Here is a 22,867-nt window from a genome sequence, read left to right on the forward strand (position 1 = left end):
TTCACATAAAAAGAATGAAGTAGGACTCTACCTAACATCACATACAAAAATTAACTCAAAATGAATGAAAGACCTAAACATAAGAGCTGAAAATATAAAGCATAGTGGGAAAGCTTCATGAGATTAGATTTGGAAATGATTTCTTGAATATGACACTAAAAGTACAGGTGAAAAAATAAGTTGGACTACAAAAAAATTATTTCATGTACCATGTGGAATTCCACTTAATAGCAGAAGTTTTACATTATGATTGTATCCTCAATATAAAATTGTGGTACAGGTTGAACACACCCAATTGGAAAATCCAAAATGTTCCAAAATCTGAAAATTTTTGAGCACCAACATGATGCTCAAAGGAAATGCTCATTGGAGCCTTTTGGATTTTTGATTTTCAGATTAGGGATGCCCAACCAGTAAGTATAACGCAAATATTCCAAAACCTGGAAAAACATCTGAAACACTTCTGATCCCAAGCATTTTCAGATGAGCGATGAGGGATACTCAACCTGTACATATTTCAGAGCACTTGACTGAATACTCATTTTTTTCTGTAGATTGTTTATTTTTAAGCAAAGTGAAATTGTAATTTTAAACTTAAATTTTAATTTGATTCCTTTTTTTTTTTTCAGAGACAGGTTTTCACTTTGTCACCCCCAGTGGGAGTACAGTGGCACGATCATAGCTCACTGCAGCCTTAAACTCCTGGGCTCAAGCAATCCCCCCGCCGCAGCCTCCCAAGTAGCTAGGACTACAGGCATGTGCCAGCATGGCCTGCTAGCTTTTTTATTTTTTTGTAGAAACCGGGGTCTCTCTGCGTTGCTCAGGCTAGTCGCAAACACCTGGCTTCAAGCAAGTCTTCTGACTCATTAAATGTAAATTTTAATTGTAATTTGTTAAAATAGAATTTGTTCTCTGCTAGCCAATTAATAATAATCTTGCTACTTATTGAAAACAGACATACACATAACTATGTTGCTCATATACTTTGACAAACTTATCACTATTTTTTCCTCGAATCAATTATATTACTACTTTCCTAAGTATGTTACTTTTGTTTCCTCAGGCTTGGATGATATTTACATTGTAAAGGGGAAATACATACTTTGTTTGATCATATTTCAGATTGAGTGACGTTTTCATCCATAGGAAAGACTATAAATACATATTCTGTTTGATCATATTTCAAATTGAGTGATGTTTTCATCCATAGGAAAGACTAAATCAGTTTCTTGCCATTTCTTTCTCATAGATAACATTTGCAAAGGGAAAAAGAGAATCAGTTTCTCTTCATTTAACTGAGTATCTGATTACAATTTCTACCCAACTATGAGTGATGGTTAAGAGTAGCATATTCATATTAACTATCTTCAGGGACTGAAGATTCTTCCAGGTTTGTAGAAACAGGATTAGAAATGGTGTGGAAGGGAAACAAGAATTTGTGACAGCAAAAGACCAGTGATTTTGTTAGAAATGACTACGCTTCCAAGATTTTGTGAGTGCACTTTCTTGGCAATTTAGTTAGTATTAAGAGAGGAGGGAAAGAAACAAAGTGGACATGGAAAAGTCAAATGCCAAAGTTTAATAGAAATGTTTGCAACCATTGCATCAGTTAAAGTTCATGGTCAGTTTGTTGCTCTTTTGATAGAAACACATTCTGTCTCCTTACAGAAGTGTTGAGAATTAATCACATGATAGTTTGTTATTGCAAGAGCAAGGTCAAGTGTTTTCTATTTTAGCATTCTTCATTTTCAAACTCATGGTTTTAGACAAAAAACTGAGAAGTGACATGTCACAGCTTTGTTAATGTAGTTTGAATTCAGTGAATATATATTTGATAATTAAGTAATATTATTGTTTTCATAAGAATAAATCAAGTTTACTATTAGTGTTTAAACTATTATTCTTTAAAACATCTATAAAAAACAAATAAGAATGGATCAACTTAAATCTTGAAATAAATCAGAATGTAGGACAAATGACACTTTATCTCACAAGTCTTTTAAAATGAGCATGTATTGAGAAAAAAAGGATAAGAAAGATTTCATTGTGAATAAAACCCATTTGACAAGGAAAAATGTATTGTAAAAAATATGTTTTTGTGGTTTTTGTGAAGTTTTGACAATTTTTATAGGACTTACTGCTGATGCTAGAGTAGTAATAAACAGAGCCCGTGTGGAGTGCCAGAGCCATAAGCTTACGGTTGAGGACCCAGTCACTGTAGAATACATAACTCGCTTCATAGCAACTTTAAAGCAGGTAAGCTAATATTCTAACATACTTTGTTAAGCTTTCTCCTTTTTCATCATTATAAGTCCTATCATAGAAGTACTACAGTTACTCCAACCATGTAGTCTATTAAATATATTAAATTTCTTATTTCTCACACTTACTTTATATTCATATTTTTATTCCAGTAAAATGGATTGATTTAATCACTAGAAATCTGGATCAGTATTAATTCTGGGAATTACATTCAAATTTAAAAAAACAGTAAGTCTGATCTTTTAAGGAGATTTCTACACTTCTGGAGATTAATACAAAGAGTTATTTGAAGTTTTCCAGAGAAGTACCTTTTTTGTTTTGTTTTTTGTTTTTGTTTTTGTTTTTGTGTTTTTTGAGACAGGGTCTCACTTTGTTGCCCAGGCTAGAGTGTAGTGGTATGATCTTGGCCCACTGCAGCCTCGACCTTCTGGGCTCAAGCAATCCTCCCACCTCAGCCTCCTGAGTAGCTGTGACCATAGGCATAAGCCACCATGCCCAGCAAATTTTTGTATTTTTTGTACAGATGGGGTTTTGCTATATTGCCCAGGTTGGTCTTGAACTCCTGAGCTCAAGCAGTCCGCCCACCTTGACCTCCCAAAGTTCTGGGATTATAGGCATGAGCCACGGTGCCTGGCCTGCATTATTCTTTTACCTGCAACATTGCTATGGTTTGAATGTGTCCCCCAAAAGTTTGGGTTAGAAACTTAATCCCTGATGTCACAGTGTTGAGAGGTGGGGACTAATGGGAGGAGTTTAGGGTTCCACCGTCATAAATGGATTAATACCAATTATAAAAGGGCTTAATCTTTTATAATTATACCAATTATAAAAGGGCTCAATCTCTTGCTCTCTCTCATCTCTCTTGCCCTTTCACCTTCTGTGATGGGATGACATGGCATGGCATGAAAGCCCTGGCTAGATGTAGCCTTGTCAGTCTTGGACTACTCAATTTCCAGAACTGTAAGAAGCAAATGTCTGTTCTTTATACATTACCTACTCTCAGGTATTCTGGAATAGCAGCACAAAATGGACTAAAGCAAAACCTAAACATAACTGATCAGATATGATTTCTCCTCAATCCATGCAGAAATACATAGCTTAACATTAAGTATAATCATGATGTCTACAACTATTTTTTTTTACTAATTTTAAGTATATTTTATATATGCAACATTGTCTTTTTAGTTATTATTCTAACAATGTAATACTGTTTCTAGTTGCTATGTCATAATTTAGTTACATTGTTCCTGGTTTCTTTCATTTTTCTTCTCTCTCTTATTCTCTCTCTGCTGCTCTAATGATAATACTCTTTCCCACAGCTTTTGTTTTTATTTTTGGAATTATATTGTTAAATTTATTTTTTAGTATGGGATTATGAGATTAAAAATTGTAATTGGTTTTCAGATTCTTTTTATATGTAGCTAAATTGCTTTAGAAAGATTGAAACAATTTTTATTGTACAGCTAGCAATGTATAAATGTATCCTTGAAGAATCATCAACATTAGGTTTTTCATTGTTCTTTTATTTTGCAAATAAGTATCACACAGTACTATAATAGTTGTTTTAATTTGTGTCTTATAATTAGTGATGAGGTTGAACTTTTTTTCCACCTATTGGTTTGCTGATTTCATTTCTCCTTTTGTAAACTATCTTTTGACATGTACTCAAGTGGTTAAGAGTGTGCCTTCAGGAGCCAGAATTTTGGAGTTTAAATCCTGGCTTTGCTACTTCTTAGTTAATGCCTTGGGCAAACTATTTTCCTACTTTGCCTTTAATTTTTTTTTAATTTGTAAAATGAGCATCACAATAATATGAACTTCGTTGGCTCGCATTATAGAGTAAATGATTTAAGACATTTTAGGTTTTTAGAACACTTTTTGGCATGAGTTTTACCATTTGTTTTATTTTTATTTTTATTTTTTTATTTTTTGAGACAGACTCTTGCTCTGTTGCCCAGGCTGGAGTGCAGTGGCCTGATCTCAGCTCCCTGCAACCTCTGCCGCACAGGTTCAAGCAATGCTTATACCCCAGCCTCCTGAGTAGCTGGGATTACCGGCACATGCCACCACACCTGGCTAACTTTTGTATTTTTTGTACAGATGATGTTTCACCATGTTGGCCAGGCTGGTCTCGAACTCCTGAGCTCAAGTGATCTGCCCGTCTCAGCCTCCCAAAGTGCTGGGATTACAGGCATGAGCCACTGCGCCCAGTCAAATTTTACCATTTGTTTTTATAGAGATTTTTAATAAACTAATTATGTATCCTATATATGTAAGTTTTAACTGATTAGCTTATAACAAAATTGCCCTATTTTGATTTCTTGAAATTTGTTAATGCAGGTTGCAAGGAAGTCCAACATTACATTATTCTACTTATTTTATTTGCTTCGATTTTCCTAATCATTAAAAACACATTCACCAAATACAAGGAACAGAACATTGTATACACAAAATTCCCAATTGTAGTTTTTAGGTTTTCTTCCAGAAATATCAAGGCTATGCAGAGTGTATTTACGGAAACATAGTCATAAGAATGGAATTACCACCGAGAAGGCCTGGGGCTCTCCGGCAGAAGATCGATATCTCATATGCACCTTTTGTAGTTTTGGGTTTTTTGTTTGTTTATTTGTTTTTTGTTTGTTTTGAGATGGAGTCTCACTCTGTCACCAGGCTGGAGTGCAGTGGTGCAATCTTCTTGGCTCACTGCAACCTCCAACTCCCTCGTTCAAGTGATTCTCCTGCCTCAGCCTCCTGAGTAGCTGGGATTACAGGCACGTGCCACTACGCCCAGCTAATTTTTGTATTTTCAGTAGAGACGGAGTTTCACCATGTTGGCCAGGATGGTCTCGATTTCCTGACCTCGTGATCTACCCGCCTCAGCCTTCCGAAGTGCTGGGATTACAGGCGTGAGCCACCACACCCAGCCTACTTTTTTATCTTAAGAAAATGATTCATTAGTCTAGGCACGGTGGCTTATGCCTGTAATCCCAGCACTTCGGGAGGCCAAGGTGGGCAGATCACTTGAGCCCAGAGCCCAGGAGTTCAAGACCAGCGTGGGCAAAATGGTGAAACCTCATCTCTACAAAAAATAAAAAAAACAGCTGGATGTGGTGGTGCGCACCTGTAACCCCAGCTACTTGGAAGGCTGAGGCAGGAGAATTGCTTGAACCCAGGAGACGGAGGTTGCAGTAAGCCAAGATCATACCACCATACTCCAGCCTGGGCGACAGAGTGAGACTCTGTCAAAAAAAAAGAAAAGGCTCATTAAGGAAATAAAATAAAAGAGTCTTCCCTCTAAGGTATATTTACAACAGCTACTTTATACCTAGGTGTGAACTAGGACATTAGGAAATAGTCAAACCAATTTTGAACAAAAAGAACAAAGCTGGTGCCATCACACTACCTGAAATCAAAATATATTCAGAGATACAGTAACCAAAATAGCATGGTGCTTTTGTAAAAAGCAGACACATAGGCCGATGGAACAGAATAGAGAACCCAGAAATAAATCTACATACATTCAACTGATTTTCAGCAGAAATGTCAGAAACGTACATTGGAGAATGGACAGCCACTTCAATAAATGGAGCTGGGAAAACTGGATATGCAGAAAAAATGAAATGAAACCTCTGTCTCTCTCTCACCATATACAAAAATCTACTTAAAATGGACTAAAGACTTTAATGTATGATCCAAAACTATAAATCTACTAGAAGAAAATATAGAGGAAATGCTTTAGGACCTTGGGCTAGGCAAATATTTTTATGGATAAGACTTTAAAAGCACAGGCACCAAAAGCAAAATTAGGCAAATGAGATTATATCAAACTAAAAAGCTTCTGCACAGCCAAAGAAACAGTCAACAGAGTGAAGAGTCCATCTGCAAAATGAGAGAAAATATTTGCAAAATATTCATTTGACAAGGGATTAATATCTGGAATGTACGAGGAACTCAAAGAACTGAAAACCAAACAAACCCAAATAATCTTCCTAAAAAATGGGCAAATGAACTGAATAGACATTTTGCAAAAGAAGAAATACAAATGGCCAACATGTATATGAAAACATGTTCAACATCACTAATCATCAGATAAATGCTAATCAAAACCACAGTGATGTCATCTCACCTCAGAATGGCTATTATCAAAAAGACAAAAAATAACAAATGCTGGCAAGGATACAGAGAAAGGGGAACTCCCATACGCTGTTGGTGGAAATGTAAATTAATACAGACATTATGGAAAATAGTATGGAGGTTCCTCAGAAAACTATTATAGAAGTAGAACTATCCTCTAATCCCACAATCCCACTACTGGTTATGCATCATCCAAAGGTAAAGAAATCAGTATATCCAAGAGATGTATGCACCCCTGTGTTTATCACAGCAGTATTCACAATAGGGAAGATATACAACCAGCCTAAGCATTCATCAACAGATAAATGGATAAAGAAAATGTGGTATAGATACACAATTGAATACTACTTAGCCATAAAAAAGAATGAAATTCTGTCATTCGTTATAACGTGAATGAGCCTGGAGGACATTGTGTTATGTAAAATAAGTCATGCAGAGGAAGACAAATACTGCATGTCCTTATTCATATGTGGACACTAAAAAAGTTGTGTTTGTAGAAATAGAGAATAGCATACTGTGTGTGTATATATATTTTATATATATAATAATGTGTGTGTATATTTTATATATATTATATATAAAATATATATACAATATATATACAGTGTGTGTGCATATATTGTATATAATATATACACATACAGAGTATGCTACTCTATATAGATTTTGTTGTTGTTTTTTTGAGACAGGATCTCACTCTGTCACCCAGGCTGGAGTGCAGTGGCATGATCTCGTCTCACTGAAGCCTCAACCTCCCAGGCTCAAGTGATTCTCCTACCTCAGCCTCCCCAGTAGCTGGTACCACAGATGCACACCACCATGCCTGGCTAATTTTTTATTTTTGTAGAGACAGGGTTTCCCTATGTTGCCCAGGCTGGTCACGAACTGCTGGGCTCAAGCGATCTGCCTGCCTTGCCCTCCCAAAGTGGTGGGATTACAGGCGTGAGCCACTGCATCCAACCTAAAAATAAATATATATATTTTAAAATACATATAATAAAATTGGAAAATAAGAAAATAGATATGATACATAGGCAAGACCAGGAAGAAGGCTGATGTAAAGCTATTTCAAGCCACAGTTACATACAGTTATATACAGCCACAGAATTATTTATAGTATATGAAGTTGCCTAAAAATTTAGTCCTTAGACCGGGCGCGGTGGCTCATACCTATAATCCCAGCACTTTGGGAGGCCAGGGCAGGCAGATCCCCTGAGGTCAGGAGTTCGAGACCAGCCTGGCCAACCAACATGGTGAAACCCTGTCTCTTAAAAAAAAAAAAAAATTAGTCCTTAGCTTTCTGTCAGGAATGCTTCTTTGCACGACTTTTGGGGCACGAGTCTCAGTGTGAATTCTACTCCTTAGAGCACAAATTCCAGGAAGTTCCCTACCACTAAAGTAGAAATACATACAATTGGTTTCCAGTGACCCATTGTCTGTGAGGAAACAGCATGCTCTTCTTCAGGATAAACAAAGGTTTTCTTGTTTTGGGAATGAAAGAAATGTTTTACTTGGGTTTTTAATTAGAGATAACCTAGTATATAGTGAACAGAATGTCCTTGATAAAAATAGTGTCAAGTAAGAATACTTGATAATAATAGTAACATTTATAGCGTCCCTCAAGGTAAGCCGAGGACATGTTTCCAAAGCACAGCTTATTGAAATCAACTTTACTAAGAACCAAAATGCATGAAACAGGTCTCTGCTATATTAGAAATTACAGTCTAGTGATGTTACCAAACGTATACAAAGCAACAAGAAAGTGATTTTAAGACTATATGTAAATAAACTTCTGATTTTATTGTATAGACTGTATAGCATAATTTTTTAAAATTTCATCATGAATTGAGATTGCTCCAGAAAGGGTTAGGAAAAAGATCATTAATATATGTCGAATAAGAATTAGGGAAGTGGATCATTTGGGCAGCAATGCTTTATTATTAGAATTTTTATTTTGTAACTAATAGTTTTATTCTAAAAATACGTTTTATTTTTCTAGAAATATACCCAAAGCAATGGACGAAGACCTTTTGGTATTTCTGCCTTAATTGTAGGTTTTGATGATGATGGTATCTCAAGATTGTATCAGACAGATCCTTCTGGTACTTATCATGCTTGGAAGGTGAGTCATGAATTTATTAATACTTTTTTAGAAGTTTAGTAAATATTCAATGTAAATGCTTTATTGCTTTGAGAGACATGAAAAATTATGTTGCATTAAATATTGATATTGGTAAAATGTAACTATTCAGCTCGTCAGAAACTACAATGATTTTGGTTGGATAAAGAATCACCTTAATTTTGTAAGCACAAGGTCTTTTGAAAAGATGTGACCAAAGTAAGTGTTTATAAATGGCCAAGTAAGAGAAATATCCAGTTCCTATTTATTTATTATTCCAAATTAATATTGTACTATATAGACGCTTGCTTCAAGCAGAAATAGTCCTTCTTCTTTTAACAAAGAATTAGATGGACATTTAAATTCATACTGAAATATTTAATTCATCTTCTCCATTCTAGGAGAGTCAGAGCACCCTAAACTATGAATCTATACTCATGTGCTAGTACGTAGCAATGATCTCTACATAATTCCTAGCATATAGTTTGTTTTCTGGATAAGCTGTTATTCTTGTTTTGACACCCAACTACAGTAATGACTTTGTTTAATGGTGCACTCAAATCCAATACAAAAGTATAGGGCTCAGCCAGGCACGGTAGTACACACCCATGGTTCCAGATACTTGGGAGGCTGAGACAGGGGGATTGCTTGAGTCCAGAATTTTGAGGTTACAGTGAGTTATAATCATGTCTCTGCACTCCAGCCCAGGTGACAGAGCAAGACCCTGTCTGAAAAACACCAACCAAACAATGCCCCCCTGCCCCCCGCAAAAAACACTGCTACATGCCAGAGAAACCTAGCTTCCAGGAGTGAATTTTTATATATTCCTGTATATAAGAATAAGACTACACTACAGAATCCAATATAACTGATTTTGACTTTATTAAAAGTTAAATACCCAGATTTTAAATAGTTTTCTACAAAGTTGATTTTACTATTATTAAGAGCCAAATAAATTAATGGAGAAATATTGCCATGGTCTTTATGCTTGTGTTAAATGAAGAATTTGATTTGCACTGACCATACTCATAAGATACTGTTTTGTAAACCGTTAACCAGGCAGTAAAGCAGTGGATTATTCTTACAACAAATATCAGAATACTTATGTTAGTGGCACATATCTTTTTAATCTGCCTGAGTAATCTAATTAGTAATCAGAAGGTATAGATTTACATGCTGCAAATATCAGACCATTTTTTCCTGTCAACTAGAGATCTCTTACCTGTACTAGATTTCTTGTCTCCTAAATCTGTGCCCTAAACAAACCAAGTTACTACACTCAATCTTTAAATATTTTAAAGCCTGCCATCTTCTGTTTGCATTTATCATTACATCATTACCCTTTGTTTCTATATCGTAACACAACATTTTCCAGGTTTACATAATTTTTCGGTTTTAATTTGATTGCTTCTTAGGGACGTACAGAGAAGTATTTTATTTTATCTCAGTCAGGAAAATTATGGAATTTTTTAGTTGTTGAGAATTTTGTTGATCATCTTGGTCTGAAACTCTGCTCTGCTCTGGTGTCTTCAGTTCTCATGGTGGGACAGGAGGATATAAGCACGGCGCACTCGCTTGCATACACGTGGATACCCCACTGATTACATTTTATGTAGTGCACTTTCTGGTGGGATTTTGGTTGAGGGAAATATTACGCAGCTTTTAAAAAAAATCATCTTTAACAAAAAACATTTGAAAACCTTTTTTATTTTATGTATTTGGCAGCTGAGATTTAGGGGTTAAGTGATTTTTGTTGCTGTTGTTAAGTTTACCTTCCCAACCTGGTGTGGTAGCTCACTTCTGTAGTCCCAGCACTTTGGGCAGCCAAGGCAAAAGGATTACTTGAATGCAGGAGTTCGAGACCACCCTGGGCAATGTAATAAGACCCCACTTCTACAAAAACAATTTAAATCTTAGCCAGGCATTGGTGGTACACACTTGTAGTCCCAGCTACTTTGGAAGCTAATGTGGAAGGATCACTTCAGCCCAAGAGTTTGAAGCTGCAGTAAGCTAGGATCATACCACTGCACTCCAACCTGAGTGACAGAGTGAGACCCTGTCTCAAAACAAAAAAGTTCACATTCCTAGTTAATAGCAATACTGAATTAGAACTCAAGATGTTCTATTTATTTCATTCTATGTTGTTTGCATTACATCATGCTACTTCCTTTAGGCCAGATTATTTTCTCTGCATGTTATATAAATTCTAAAATCCATTCTTGGAAGGTAGAATAAAATCTTCTGACTTGATTTCTACTTCTGGGAACTATAACATTTTAGCTATGAGATCAAGTTTTTCTTTTTTTGTTTTGTTTGGATCTGTGTTTTATTTTTTATGTCTGTTTGTTTTTTACTCTGACATACTATACCAAGTAACCTGATAAATGTTGCAATGGACTATTGAGAACACAGCTATGGTACTGAGCATATTTTGCAATGCTATTTTGTAGGCTTATGAGGTATAGGTAGAGGAAAAGATAGAATGGGTAGGAGAAATAGGAAGTTATGAACATAAACTGTCGCCACATGGCCTGTTGCAGAAATGAGAATAGAAATAGCTAATACCAGCAGTTTGGTTTTTTGAGGTTCTCTACCTGGCATGTAACACAGATTTTATTTATGAGGACTGGGCCTTTAATGATCCTGCCATAATGGGTAATAGTGCCTTCCATTAAGTTATTTCATTTTACAGGGGAATGCTAAGAGAAGCCTCCAGAAAATACTTTGAATTTTAGATACCTCCTCCCTGGTCCTATTGTATAATGGTAACTTTATTCCCATTGATGATGAAAACAAATCATACTGTCATTACAGTAACCCCTTATTTGCCTGTTGGTTCAATAACATGAGGAGTCCAAAATGGCCAAGTGGCAATCTCAGCTTGTAGTTCCGTGAAATTATTATGTCCCCTGATAGAAACATCCTCCCCACTTATCTCCCCTTCTTTTTCTTGGGAACTAGAACCTTTAAACTAGCAGAACCAAGTGGGGACAAGAGACAAAGATTTACAAGTGGGCCATTAAGGATATTCATGAGACACATCTATTCCTTAGTTCCTAGATTTGTAGGCATGTGAAAAATGAATTACTAGTTTATGGCTCAGGGTACATACAGGATCTTATAGAACAGAACCCTATCCCTGTAAGATGTCACACAGCTACTGCTATTACTGAGTCTTCATAGCCTGTTCTAGAATTACTATCAGGCTGGCTAATTCAAGGTGATGAGAGAACATAGTAAAACCAATGAATCTCATGAACATAAGCCAATTCCCCTACTTCCTCACAATCAGTTCCTTGCTCAGAGGCTATGTTTTCTAGAATACTATGATGGTGAAGAAAGCTATTCAGGTCAGCTAAAGTGGTGCATGGCAGTAGTCCTAGCTACTTGAGAAGCTGAGGCAGGAGAATGGCTTGAGCCCAGGAGTTCCAGGCTGTAGTGCACTATGATCATGCCTGCAAATAGCCACTGCACTGCAGCCTGGACAACATAGACTGTTTCTAAAAAAAATGCAAGGAAGTATTCAGTTAAGTCCATAGGTGGGAGAGCTGACAGAAGCAGTTGGCACAAGTAGGGGAAACTTATATCCTGGGTGAGTTTCTCTTCCATTGAGGGCAAGCTGCTGCCCTTTCCATGGCAGAAAAGTCCAACAAACTCAGTCAGCCATGTTGTCAGGTTGCCATGAAGCTCTGCCAGTATCCAGATTAAAAAAACAGGGGTACAGTAAGGAAACACTCATTTTTAGATTTTTTTCTTTATACATTTTTGTACTGAAGAAGATATTTAGAAAATTTTTGACAGATGAAAAAATTCTATATATTTATGGTTGTAAATGTGATGCTTCAATGTGTGTGTACATTGTGGCATGATTTAAATCAAGCTAATTAATATACCCATCATCTCACATACTTATTTTTGTGATGAGAACATTTAAAATCTACTCTCTTTAAGCAATTTTCAATATACAGTACGTTATTAATAACTGTAGTCACCATGCTGTACAGTAGATCTCCAGAATTTATTTCTCCTGACTGAAACTTTGTACCCTTGAACTAACAACTTTCCATCCCCTTTCCCTCCTCTGCCCTCCCCTGTTAACCACCATTCTATTCTCTGCTTCTATGAGTTCATTTTTTTTTTTTAGGTTCCACATATAAGTGAGATCATAAAGTATTTGTCTTTCTGTACTTGGCTTAAAAGAAAATTTTTTAGTGGAGTAACAGGTTCTGGCATTTGGCCAATTACATTAAATTAACTAAAAACTCTCCTTCTATAAACATCTGCAGGGCTAGAATGATTATTAACATTTTTAATGCATAGCTAAATACAAAAATAAAATCCTGGCTGGGCGCGGTGTCTCATGCCTGTAATCCCAGCACTTTGGGAGGCCGAGGTGGGCAGATCACAAGGTCAGGAGATTGAGACCATCCTGGCTAACACGGTGAAACCCCATCTCTACTAAAAATACAAAAAAATTAGCCAGGCGCAGTGGCAGGCACCTGTAGTCCCAGCTACTCAGGAGGCTGAGGCAGGAGAATGGTGTGAACCCAGGAGGCGGAGCTTGCAGTGAGCTGAGATCACACCACTGCACTCCAGCTTGGACAACAGAGCAAGACTCCATCTCAAAAATGAAATAAAATAAAATAAAATCCTAAAGGTCCAGAAATAAGGAATTGAATACCAGAATAATAAGCATGTGAGTTGATAACTGTACTTAGGGATGTTATAGTGCAGGATTCCCAAAGATTATTCACCATCAAAAGTATAAAATATATAAACAGCCCATCATTTAACAAGTATTCAGTCTATAAATACTGAATTTTTATTACATATTAAATACTGTTCTAGGTTATGGGAATATAGAGGTGAACTCAACAGATGAAAATTCCTGCCCCTATGAAAAAGGGAGGACAGACAATATAAAAATCTAAATACAACAATATAAAAGGTGGTGTGTGTTTATGTGTGTGTGTATATATATATATATATATATATATATATATATATATATATATATATATGCTGTGAGTAAAATGAGACAACAGGGTTAGGAGGATAGAGAATGACTGATATACACAAGGTGGTCAGGGAAGGTCCCTTTGAAAAGGAGACATTTGAACAGAGACCTGAAGAAAGTGAAGGAGCAAGCCAGCCAGTTATTTGCTTTGGTGTTCCAAACACAGAAACAAAAGGGCAAAATCCCAAGGCAGTAGCATGTTCCATATTTATAAAAAATAGCAACTAGGCTATTATAGCTAGATTTCTATGCTAGAGCATACAGGCTAAGCATCTATAATCCAAAAATTAGAAATCTGAAATGCTTCAAAATCTCAAACTTTTTGAGCACCAACGTGACTACGCTACAGCAAGTCAACAAGAAATACAGTGGTAAGAAATGAAGTATTCAGAGGTAGGGGGCTAGATCTTGTGGGGCTAGATCTTGTAGGGCTAGAAAGCCTTGGATAGGACTTAAATTATTATATTAAATAAAGTGATGTAGAAAGCCATTTGAAGTTTTTACATATTGGGATAACACAATCTGATTTATACTTTTAATGTGTCTCTCTAGCTGCTATATTGAGAATAGATGGTAGAGAACTTAGGGTAGAAGCAGGGAGATAAGTTACAGGCTATGTTCAATAATCCAGGCAAGACCTGATTTAGATTAGAGGCATTGGGCCAGGGAAAGGTTGGGAAGGACCCAGCATAGTCTACAAAGGAGGAGAACTCGGAGACAAGTGTTCTGGATCCCAAGTGAAAACAGTGTTTGAAGAAAGAGTTATCAATTTACTCAGTTCCATCAAGTAAAAAGAGGGCTGTGAAATGAATGGATTTAGCAATGTGCAGGTCATTGGTGACCTTTACAAGAACAGTTTGGATGGAGTGATGGTGATGAAAGCATGACTGGAGTGGATTTAGAAGAAAAAGGCTCATACCTGTAATCCCAGCACTTTGGGAGGCCAAGGTGGGAGGATCACTTGAGGCCAGGAGCTCAAGACCAGCCTGGGCAACATAGTGAGGCCTTGTCTCTACAAAATTAAAAATAGATAAATAATAAAAGAAAAGGGGAGAGGGACGATCAAGAATCATTAAGGGGTGCCAAAACCATCAAGTGAAAGATGGCTGGGAAAAGGATATTCACGTGGTGCCACATATTACTTGTTAATCACAAAGTTGTGGCGGACACCACCATCACCATCAAACTTAGCATCTCCTATAAGAGGATAAACTGGCATTATATGCGTCCTGCTGTGATGCAATGGAAAAGAAATAACATGACCTTAGTAGTATTATTGTCATTGGATTTAACCTAAATCTGATTGAGGGAACAATCAGCTAAATCTCAGTTGTAAAGCATTCTACAGGATATTTCAAAAATGTTAATGTTAATGAAAAACAAAATAAAGGCATGGAAACTTTTCTAGTTTAAAGGACACTAAAGAATTTATGCAATCCAAGATTTTTGACTGTATACTGGATGTGGGAAAAACAGATGCAAAGGACATTTTGAGGACAACCAGAGACACTTAAATATGGATTGTATATTAGATAATGTTGTGTCTGTTTTAAATTTTCGGGATGTGATTATTATAATGTAATTATATAAGAGAACAACTTTGTGGGTTTTTGTTGAGGGGGGAGGGTTGTTGGAGTTTTTGGTTTTTTTGTTTTGTTTTGTTTTGTTTTGTTTTTTGAGACGGAATCTCTCTCTGTCACCCAGGCTGGAGTGCAATGGTACCATCTCGGCTTACTGCAGCCTCCACCTCCCAGGTTCAAGCGATTCTTCTGCCTCAGCCTCCCAAGTAGCTGGGATTACAGGTGCCTGCCACCATGCCAAGTTAATTTTTAGGAGAGACGGGGTTTCACGCTGTTGGCAGGCTGCTCTGGAACTCCTGACCTCAAGCAATCCACCCACCTCAGCTTCCGAAAGTGCTGGGATTACAAGGGTGAGCCACCACACCTGGCCGAGAACAACTTTGTTTTAAAGAGGTAGATGCTGAAATAGTTAAGGATGAAATATAATGACATCTGCAACTTCAGCATTAAAATGTGTGTGTATGCGTGCGCACGCATGCACCCACGCCTGCATCTAAATTGAGAGAAGTAAAACAAATACCTCAAAATGTTAATAGTTCATGAATCCAAGCAAAGAGTGCGGTGTTAGTTGTTCGTTGTACTTTACACTTTTCGTAAGTTTAAATTTTTCCAAAATAAAAAATTGAAGAAAAGGAAATAGGAAGTAAAGATATTGCTTTTAAGAAATTTGGCTATAAACAGGAGCAGACAAACGAACAGTAGCTAGAGGAGAATATAGGTTCAAGGGAATTTTCCCCCCCCAAGATTGGCAACGCTATAGGATTCCATCATTCAACAACAGTATTAAGCTCTTACTATGTACTAGGTACTCTTCTGGACACTGGGGATAGCAGTGATAAAAAAAAAAATCTCTACCTTTTAGAGATTAGAGAAAGATAAGCAAAACATATGGTCTTTAGATGGAATTAGAATCTACCCAGATGATTCATTTGACCTGCCAGATTTGCTACTCATTGTTTAAATTTGAAAAACTACGGCCAGGCGTGGTGGCTCACACCTGTAATCCCAGCACTTTGGGAGGCCGAGGCAGGTGGATCACCTGAGGTCAGGAGTTTGAGACCAGCCTGGCCAACATGGTGAAACCCCATCTCTACTAAAAAAAAAATACAAAAAATTAGCTGTTCCTGGTGGTGTATGCATGTAATCCCAGCTACTTGGGAGGCTGAGGCAGGAGAATTGCTTGAACCCAGGAGGCAGAGGTTGCAGTGAGCCAAGGTCCTGCCATTGCATTCCAGCCTGGGCAACAGAGTGAGACTCTGTCTCAAAAAGAAAAAGAAAAAAAGAAAAGAAAAGAAAAACTGCAACATTATGAACTTTCAAGTAGGTCTGTGTGGAATCCTTATTGTGCATGGGTTGCTTGGCTTTATACGCTTAAAGGATTTGGCCAAATATGATATACAGTAAAAAGTGGCAGATTTCAAAATGTGATCTGCAAATCCCTGACCCATTAGGTAAAAACTATTTTCCTAATAATACTGAGACAATATTTCCCATTTTCACTGCATGGACACATACACTGATGGCATAGAAGTGATCATGGATAAAATTGCTGGTATCTTGGTACACAACTGTGTTAGCTCTCATTTTTTTCTTTACCACCATACATTTGCAATTAAAAACTCAATAAATTTGACTTTAACATGAGTTCTTTTTGATGAAACCATAAAGATTGTTAGTTTTATTAAATCTTGACTCAGGTATACATCTTTTTAACATTCTGTGTGATGAAATGGAAGTACTCATAAACATGTTTGCTGCAGGTATGGTGAATGTCTTGAGGAAAAGCAGTTTTGTGATTGTTTGAATTGCAAGCTAAAACAGCCCATCTTTTACGGAACTTCATTTTTACTTGACAAAACAATAAATAACCATGGTTATTAGGACTTGGAGATTTGGCAGGACATATTCTCAAGGATGAGCAAACTGAGCCTGTTACTTTAAGGAAACAACTGACAGTTGTTTCCAATGATTTGTTGCCAGTGATAAAATTCAAGTTTTCAAGCAAAAATTATAATTTTGGAAAACATGTATTTGCCACAATGAGCCTGACAGTTTCTTTGCGAAAAATTAATAAGCATGATTATTTAATGTTTTAGAAATCACATGGGTCAACATTTAGAAGATCTGCATAATTCAGTAAACCAGTTTTCCAAATGAGCAAGCATGACATTACAAAATCTTGCAAAATAAAATACCTATTCAAAGCAAACATTGTGTAGGTTTTACCAATCCCTATTGACTATTAGAAATTAAAACTGAGAAATTTTAAAATATTAATGTATAAAAAGCCAAGAGACTAATATAACAGTAAAAAAGTTTATGTGGTTGCAGATTTTAATTTGCAATTAACTACCACCTGTTGAGTGGAATAGCCACACTTTTCTGAGAAGGGCATTAAAATATTCCTCCCTTTTCTAACTACATGTTTGTGTAAGGTTATACTTCAGCCATAATAACATATTGCAATATGTTGAATGCAAAACAGATAAAAGAATTCAGCTTTCTCTTGTGAAGCCAGAGAGTAAATATATTTGCAAGACAAATATATTGTAGACAGGAAGTATATTTGTACCACTCTTCTCAAAAAAATAGTTTTTCTTTTAGAAAATATAATTATTTCATAAAAACATGTTTATATTAACATGTGTTATAGATGGAATTGGGTCCCCCAAAATGCATACATTGAACCCCTAACCCCCAAAAATAGGGCCTGTAGGGAGATAATTAAAGTTAAATGAGGTCGTAAGGATAGGACCCTAATTCCATAGGATCGATGTCCTTATAAAAAGAGACAGAGACACCAGAGAGCTCTCTCTTTTGCATGAACATGTATGTGTGCACACAAGAAGAAAGGCCTTGTGAGGACACAATGAGAAAGCAGCCATCTGCAAGCCAGGAAGAGAGCCCTCACCACAAACCAAAATTGCTAGCACCTTGAGCTTGGACTTTAGCCTCTAGAACTTTGAGAAAATAAATTTCTGTGGTTTATGCCACCTGGTCTGTGGTATTTTTTTTTTTTTTTTTTATTAACAAGTGTAACTCTTTATTAAGATGGAATTGTTCTTATTAAAGAAATAGATGAAAATGGTTAAGTACAATTAAATGGCTCCAAAAGTCTTACAATGAAAACAACAGTCCTGCCAGTTGTTCTTTCCAGAGGCAAATACTTTTCATTCTCTTAGTTTTTCCTTCCGTTAGTTACCTTCATGGGTTTTTCCAAATTATTGTTTTTTTTTAGTTTTTCAAGTGAATGCATATATTAATACATAAAATTTTAAAAAGGCTTTTCAGTTTATAATGCATCCTAACAGTCCCCTGCCCCATCCCTCCTAATTCTCCAGAGCAATGACTTTTAACTCTTTTAGCAATGTCTTCTGTTTTTTTCCTCACATAACTTAGTCATTTCATTATTATGTATTATATAGTGATTTCTGGATATGACAGATGAGGATTTAGCTCTTACACCATCACAATCTTCACTTTTCCTCCCATATTGTCCCAGAGTAGTTACCATATTTAGGGGCTAAGCAGTCACATCATTATGACTGTGTACATACTGCTCCTTGTTGAGAAAAACAGTGTATTATGCTCTTCCTATCCTGTACTTCTTTCTGCCCTAGAATGATTGCCTAACCAACCCTTTCCCCTTGTTTTTTTTTTTTTTTTTTTTTTACTTTTGCTTTATCTTCAATGAACTTCTTTCCAAATGCCCCAAATCTGGCAATAAGTTATTATTTTTAAGAGAAGGGATCTCACTAAGGTGGCCAGGCTGGTCTGGAACTCTTGGGCTCAAGTCGTCCTGCTGCTGAGCCTCCCGAGTAGCTGGGACTACAGGCATGGGCCATTCCACCCAGCTAACCGATTAATATTTTTACTGTTCCTTTTTAAAGCTAGCTCCATAGCTGGAATATTGCCTGTGTTGGATCCTATTTGCTGGATTCATGTCATTCTCTGGTTTGTGTACTCCTTCATTTTGCTGGAGTATTTTCTCCAACAGCTTCCCTAAAAAGGGCACATGGAGGTAACCCCTGAGTCTTTGCTTGTCTAAAAATGTATTATTTTACCTTCACCCTTGATTATTTGGGTGAATATAGATTTATCAGTTGAAAATAACTTTCTAGAATTATGAAGGCATGGTTCCATTGTTTTCAGATTCCTTTTCGAGACAAGGTCTCTTCTGTCACCCCGGCTGGAGTGCAGTGGCACAATCACGACTCACTGCAGCCTTGAACTCGTGGGCTCAATTAATTCTTCCATCTCAGCTTCCTGAGTAGATGGGAATACAGGTGTGCGCCACAATGCCCAGCTAATTTCTGTGTTTTTTGTAGAGATGGGGCTTCGCCATGTTGCCCAAGCTGGTCTCAAGTGATCTGCCTGCCTTAGCCTCCCAAAGCGCTGGGATTACAGGCGTGAGCCACTGTGCCTGGCTAGTTTTTCTTTTATTTTCTCTCTACTTCATTCATTTCTCAAAGGCATCTGAAACTCCGTGGGCCCAAAACCAAAGTCAAACTCCATCAGAATATCCTGCTACTTATAACTTTAAAATATATCTTAAATCACAATTTCTTACTACATGCAACCCTTTGGTTCAAGCAACCATCATCCCTCACTTGAACTTATAATTGGTTTTCCTGCTTCTGTATTTTTTTAAATTGTAAAATACTTCAAATAAACCATGTGTGGCCTTATACTTTTTACTACATAAAAAGAATGAAGATGTGCCGGGTGTGGTGGCTCAAGCCGGTAATCCCAGCACTTTGGGAGGCTGAGGTGGGTGAATCGCTTGCGGTCACGAGTTCGAGACTAGCCTGACCAACATGGCGAAACCCCATCTCTACCAAAAATACAAAATACAAAAATTAGCCGGGCGTGGTGGCGCGCACCCGGTCCCAGCTACTTGGGAGCCTGAGGCAGGAGAATCGCTTGAATCTGGGAAGGCGGAGGTTGCAGTAAGCCGAGGTCACACCATTGCATGCTAGCCTGGGCAACAAGAGCGAAACGCTGTCTAAAAAAAAAAGAACTTACATACTTAAACATCGAATTGCTTTAAGTGTTTGGCATTCACTGTTCCCGTGCATGCCAGCAGCTTCTTACTGCAAACACCTGAGACTTGCTATAGAGCAGCTGGACTATGTTCCGCCCACACACAGGACAGGGAGCTGACAACCAAGGAGGGGGGCGGGATCAATACTCCAGCTTTCCCCCCTCCATTTCCCTGTATCTCAGCAGTATGGAGCTTGTTATCAATGAGAACCTGCTCGCTGACTTTAAATTGCTTTTCTTACCTTCTCAGTTCAGTTTCTCCGTACCTCAATTGATGATTTCTGGTATGACCTAGCAAATACACTGCTTTCACTGAAATTTCAGTCTTGCAATCTGCTTTGGGTTCCCCAATCTAAGACAGAAACATACTCATTTTCCCATCACTGGACTTCCAGGTTGTTTTCAATTTTCCACTGTTACAAACAAGGTGGCAACATTTATCTACAAACCTCTGGATATACACGTAGGAATCTTTTGGTATTTCCACTAGTGAAACTGCTCAGTTGAAGGGTATGTGGATCTTCATCTTTAATAAATATTACCAACATGTGAAAAGCCCGACAATGTCAAGGACTGGCAAGAGTGCCACATGTGATGGGTGTGGAATGGCAGCTCACTATAGCAGGTGCTGGGGACTCAGTTGGGGTCTTGGAGAAGCACTTAGTTATAGCAAGAATGTCTCATAAATGGTATCTGATAGAGACAAGAGTAGTGGGGAATAAAAACTAGTTGCTTAGAAATAATTATAGATCTAAAGTCAACAAAAAACCTTTTCTAATGTAAAAATACATACTTTTTTCAGAGGGAGGGGGAACAACTTAAACTAGAAAACACCTTCATATTAATCATTCTTCTCATATACTTCAAATTTGTACTTAATGCCTTTCTCCTCCTGGACATCAGAGAGAACACCTGGGTATTCTGGCAGAAGTTTATATTTCTCCAAATCAATTTCTGGAAAAAACGTGTCACTTTCAAAGTCTTGCATGATCCTTGTCACAAATAGTTTAAGATGGCCTGGGTGATTCATGGCTTCCTTATAAACAGAACTGCCACCAACTATCCAGACCATGTCTACTTTATTTGCTAATTCTGGTTGTTCAGTAAGTTTTAAGGCATCATCTAGACTTCTGGAAAGAAAATGAGCTCCTTGTGGAGGTTCCTTGAGTTCTCTGCTGAGAACTAAATTAATTCTACCCTTTAAAGGTCGATTCTTCTCAGGAATGGAGAACCAGGTCTTCTTACCCATAATCACCAGATTCTGTTTACCTTCTACTGAAGAGGTTGTGGTCATTCTCTGGAAATATCTGAATTCATTCCTGAGCGGTGGCCAGGGCAGGTCCCCGTTCTTGCCGATGCCCATGTTCTGGGACACAGCGACGATGCAGTTTAGCGAACCAACCATGACAGCAGCGGGAGGACCTCCGAGCCCGCTCGTTACAGCAGAACGCGCGGTCAAGTTTGGCGCGAAATTGTCGGTATTTTGTTATGACATACCAAGCAGACTAATATAACGTGTAATGGGCTTATTTTTAAATGAATTAAATTTTTAAAAAATTTTCTGAGTTTCGGCCGGGTGCAGTGGCTCACGCCTGTAATCCCAGCACTTTGGGAGGCCGAAGCGGGTGGATCACTTGAAGTCAGGAGTTTGAGACCAGCCTGGCCAACATGGCGAAACCCCGTCTCTACTAAAAATACCAAAATTAGCCGGGCTTGGTGGCAAATGCCTATAATCCCAGCTACTTGGGAGGCTGAGGCGTGAGAATTGCTTGAACCTGGAAAGTGGTGGTTGTAGTGAGCTGAGATCGTGCCACTGCACTCCAGCCTGGGCAACAGAGTGAGACTCCGTCTCAAAAAAAAAAAAAGTCTTAGTTTCAGTTTCTCATTATTGGGTCTGGAATTTGATTTTACACTACTTACATACTAATAAAATTAGCCTGTTGCTGTTTCATGGATACTGGCAGAAGACACAAGACCCTCTGGGTCAGAAACAAAGACTTTATTACTCATGGCACATCAAACAGCATGAGTATCAGCATATTTGCATAGATTCCCTTTATCCTCAAGACCCACAGAGTTGATGTAATATGGCCTGGTTGAATGCTGTGAACAAAGTTGGTTTGCTTCACAGCTAAGGAACACCAAGCATGGAGAGTCTCCTTGTTTTATAGCAAGCAATAAGGTAGCCTGCCCTTTATCTGAGGAATGACATCTTTATCTCAAGATTACCAGCTGCATAGACAACCCTGAAAAACAGAGCCTTGTCTGACAGCCCAAGGCACATGATATCTCTCAACAATAATACAGTAAATACCAAAAAGTATAACACAAACAAAAGCACTTTGGAGTTCCCAATAATTTTTAAGAGTATAAATTGCTGATCTGTAGCAGGGAACAGAAAACTTCTTATAGGGCCAGATGGTAAATATTTTAGCCATGTAGGCATTGCAGTCTCTGTTGCAACTACTAAACTTTACCATAGTAGCATAAACTAGAAATAGACTGGAAATAGATTTACATAAATAAATGGGCATAGTGATGTACCAATAATTCTTTGTTTACAAAAACAGGGAACTGACTTGCAGGCTATAATTTTCTGACCCCTAGACTATATATAGCATTGGTTTATAGGTATGTAGCAATGTGATACAAACCTTATAGAGGAGGTTTCCTGAGCACAGGGTTAAGCTGCATATGGAAGTAATTGGTCTT

General features: G+C 37.5%; 1 protein-coding gene and 1 pseudogene across 5 annotated transcripts in view; one reads left to right on the forward strand and one right to left on the reverse strand.

Moving 5' to 3' along the window:
• The window catches only part of PSMA8 (proteasome 20S subunit alpha 8), a 59,487-nt gene that overhangs the window by 15,858 nt on the left and 20,762 nt on the right, over nt 1–22,867 (forward strand). For 3 of the 5 annotated variants that reach the window (NM_001308188.2, NM_001025096.2, NM_001025097.2), the window contains 2 exons: nt 2,132–2,256; nt 8,396–8,518. In NM_001308188.2, the coding sequence (NP_001295117.1) occupies nt 2,132–2,256; nt 8,396–8,518 (248 nt within the window). Of the gene's footprint in view, nt 1–2,113; nt 2,257–8,395; nt 8,519–22,867 lie in introns of all 5 variants that reach the window. The other 2 variants (XM_011525818.2, NM_144662.3) reach the window with 1 other exon arrangement.
• DHFRP1 (dihydrofolate reductase pseudogene 1) lies at nt 18,136–21,631 on the reverse strand (annotated as a pseudogene).

This window comes from Homo sapiens, chromosome 18 (genome assembly GCF_000001405.40).
Source record: "Homo sapiens chromosome 18, GRCh38.p14 Primary Assembly".
NCBI classification, from domain to species: domain Eukaryota; kingdom Metazoa; phylum Chordata; class Mammalia; order Primates; family Hominidae; genus Homo; species Homo sapiens.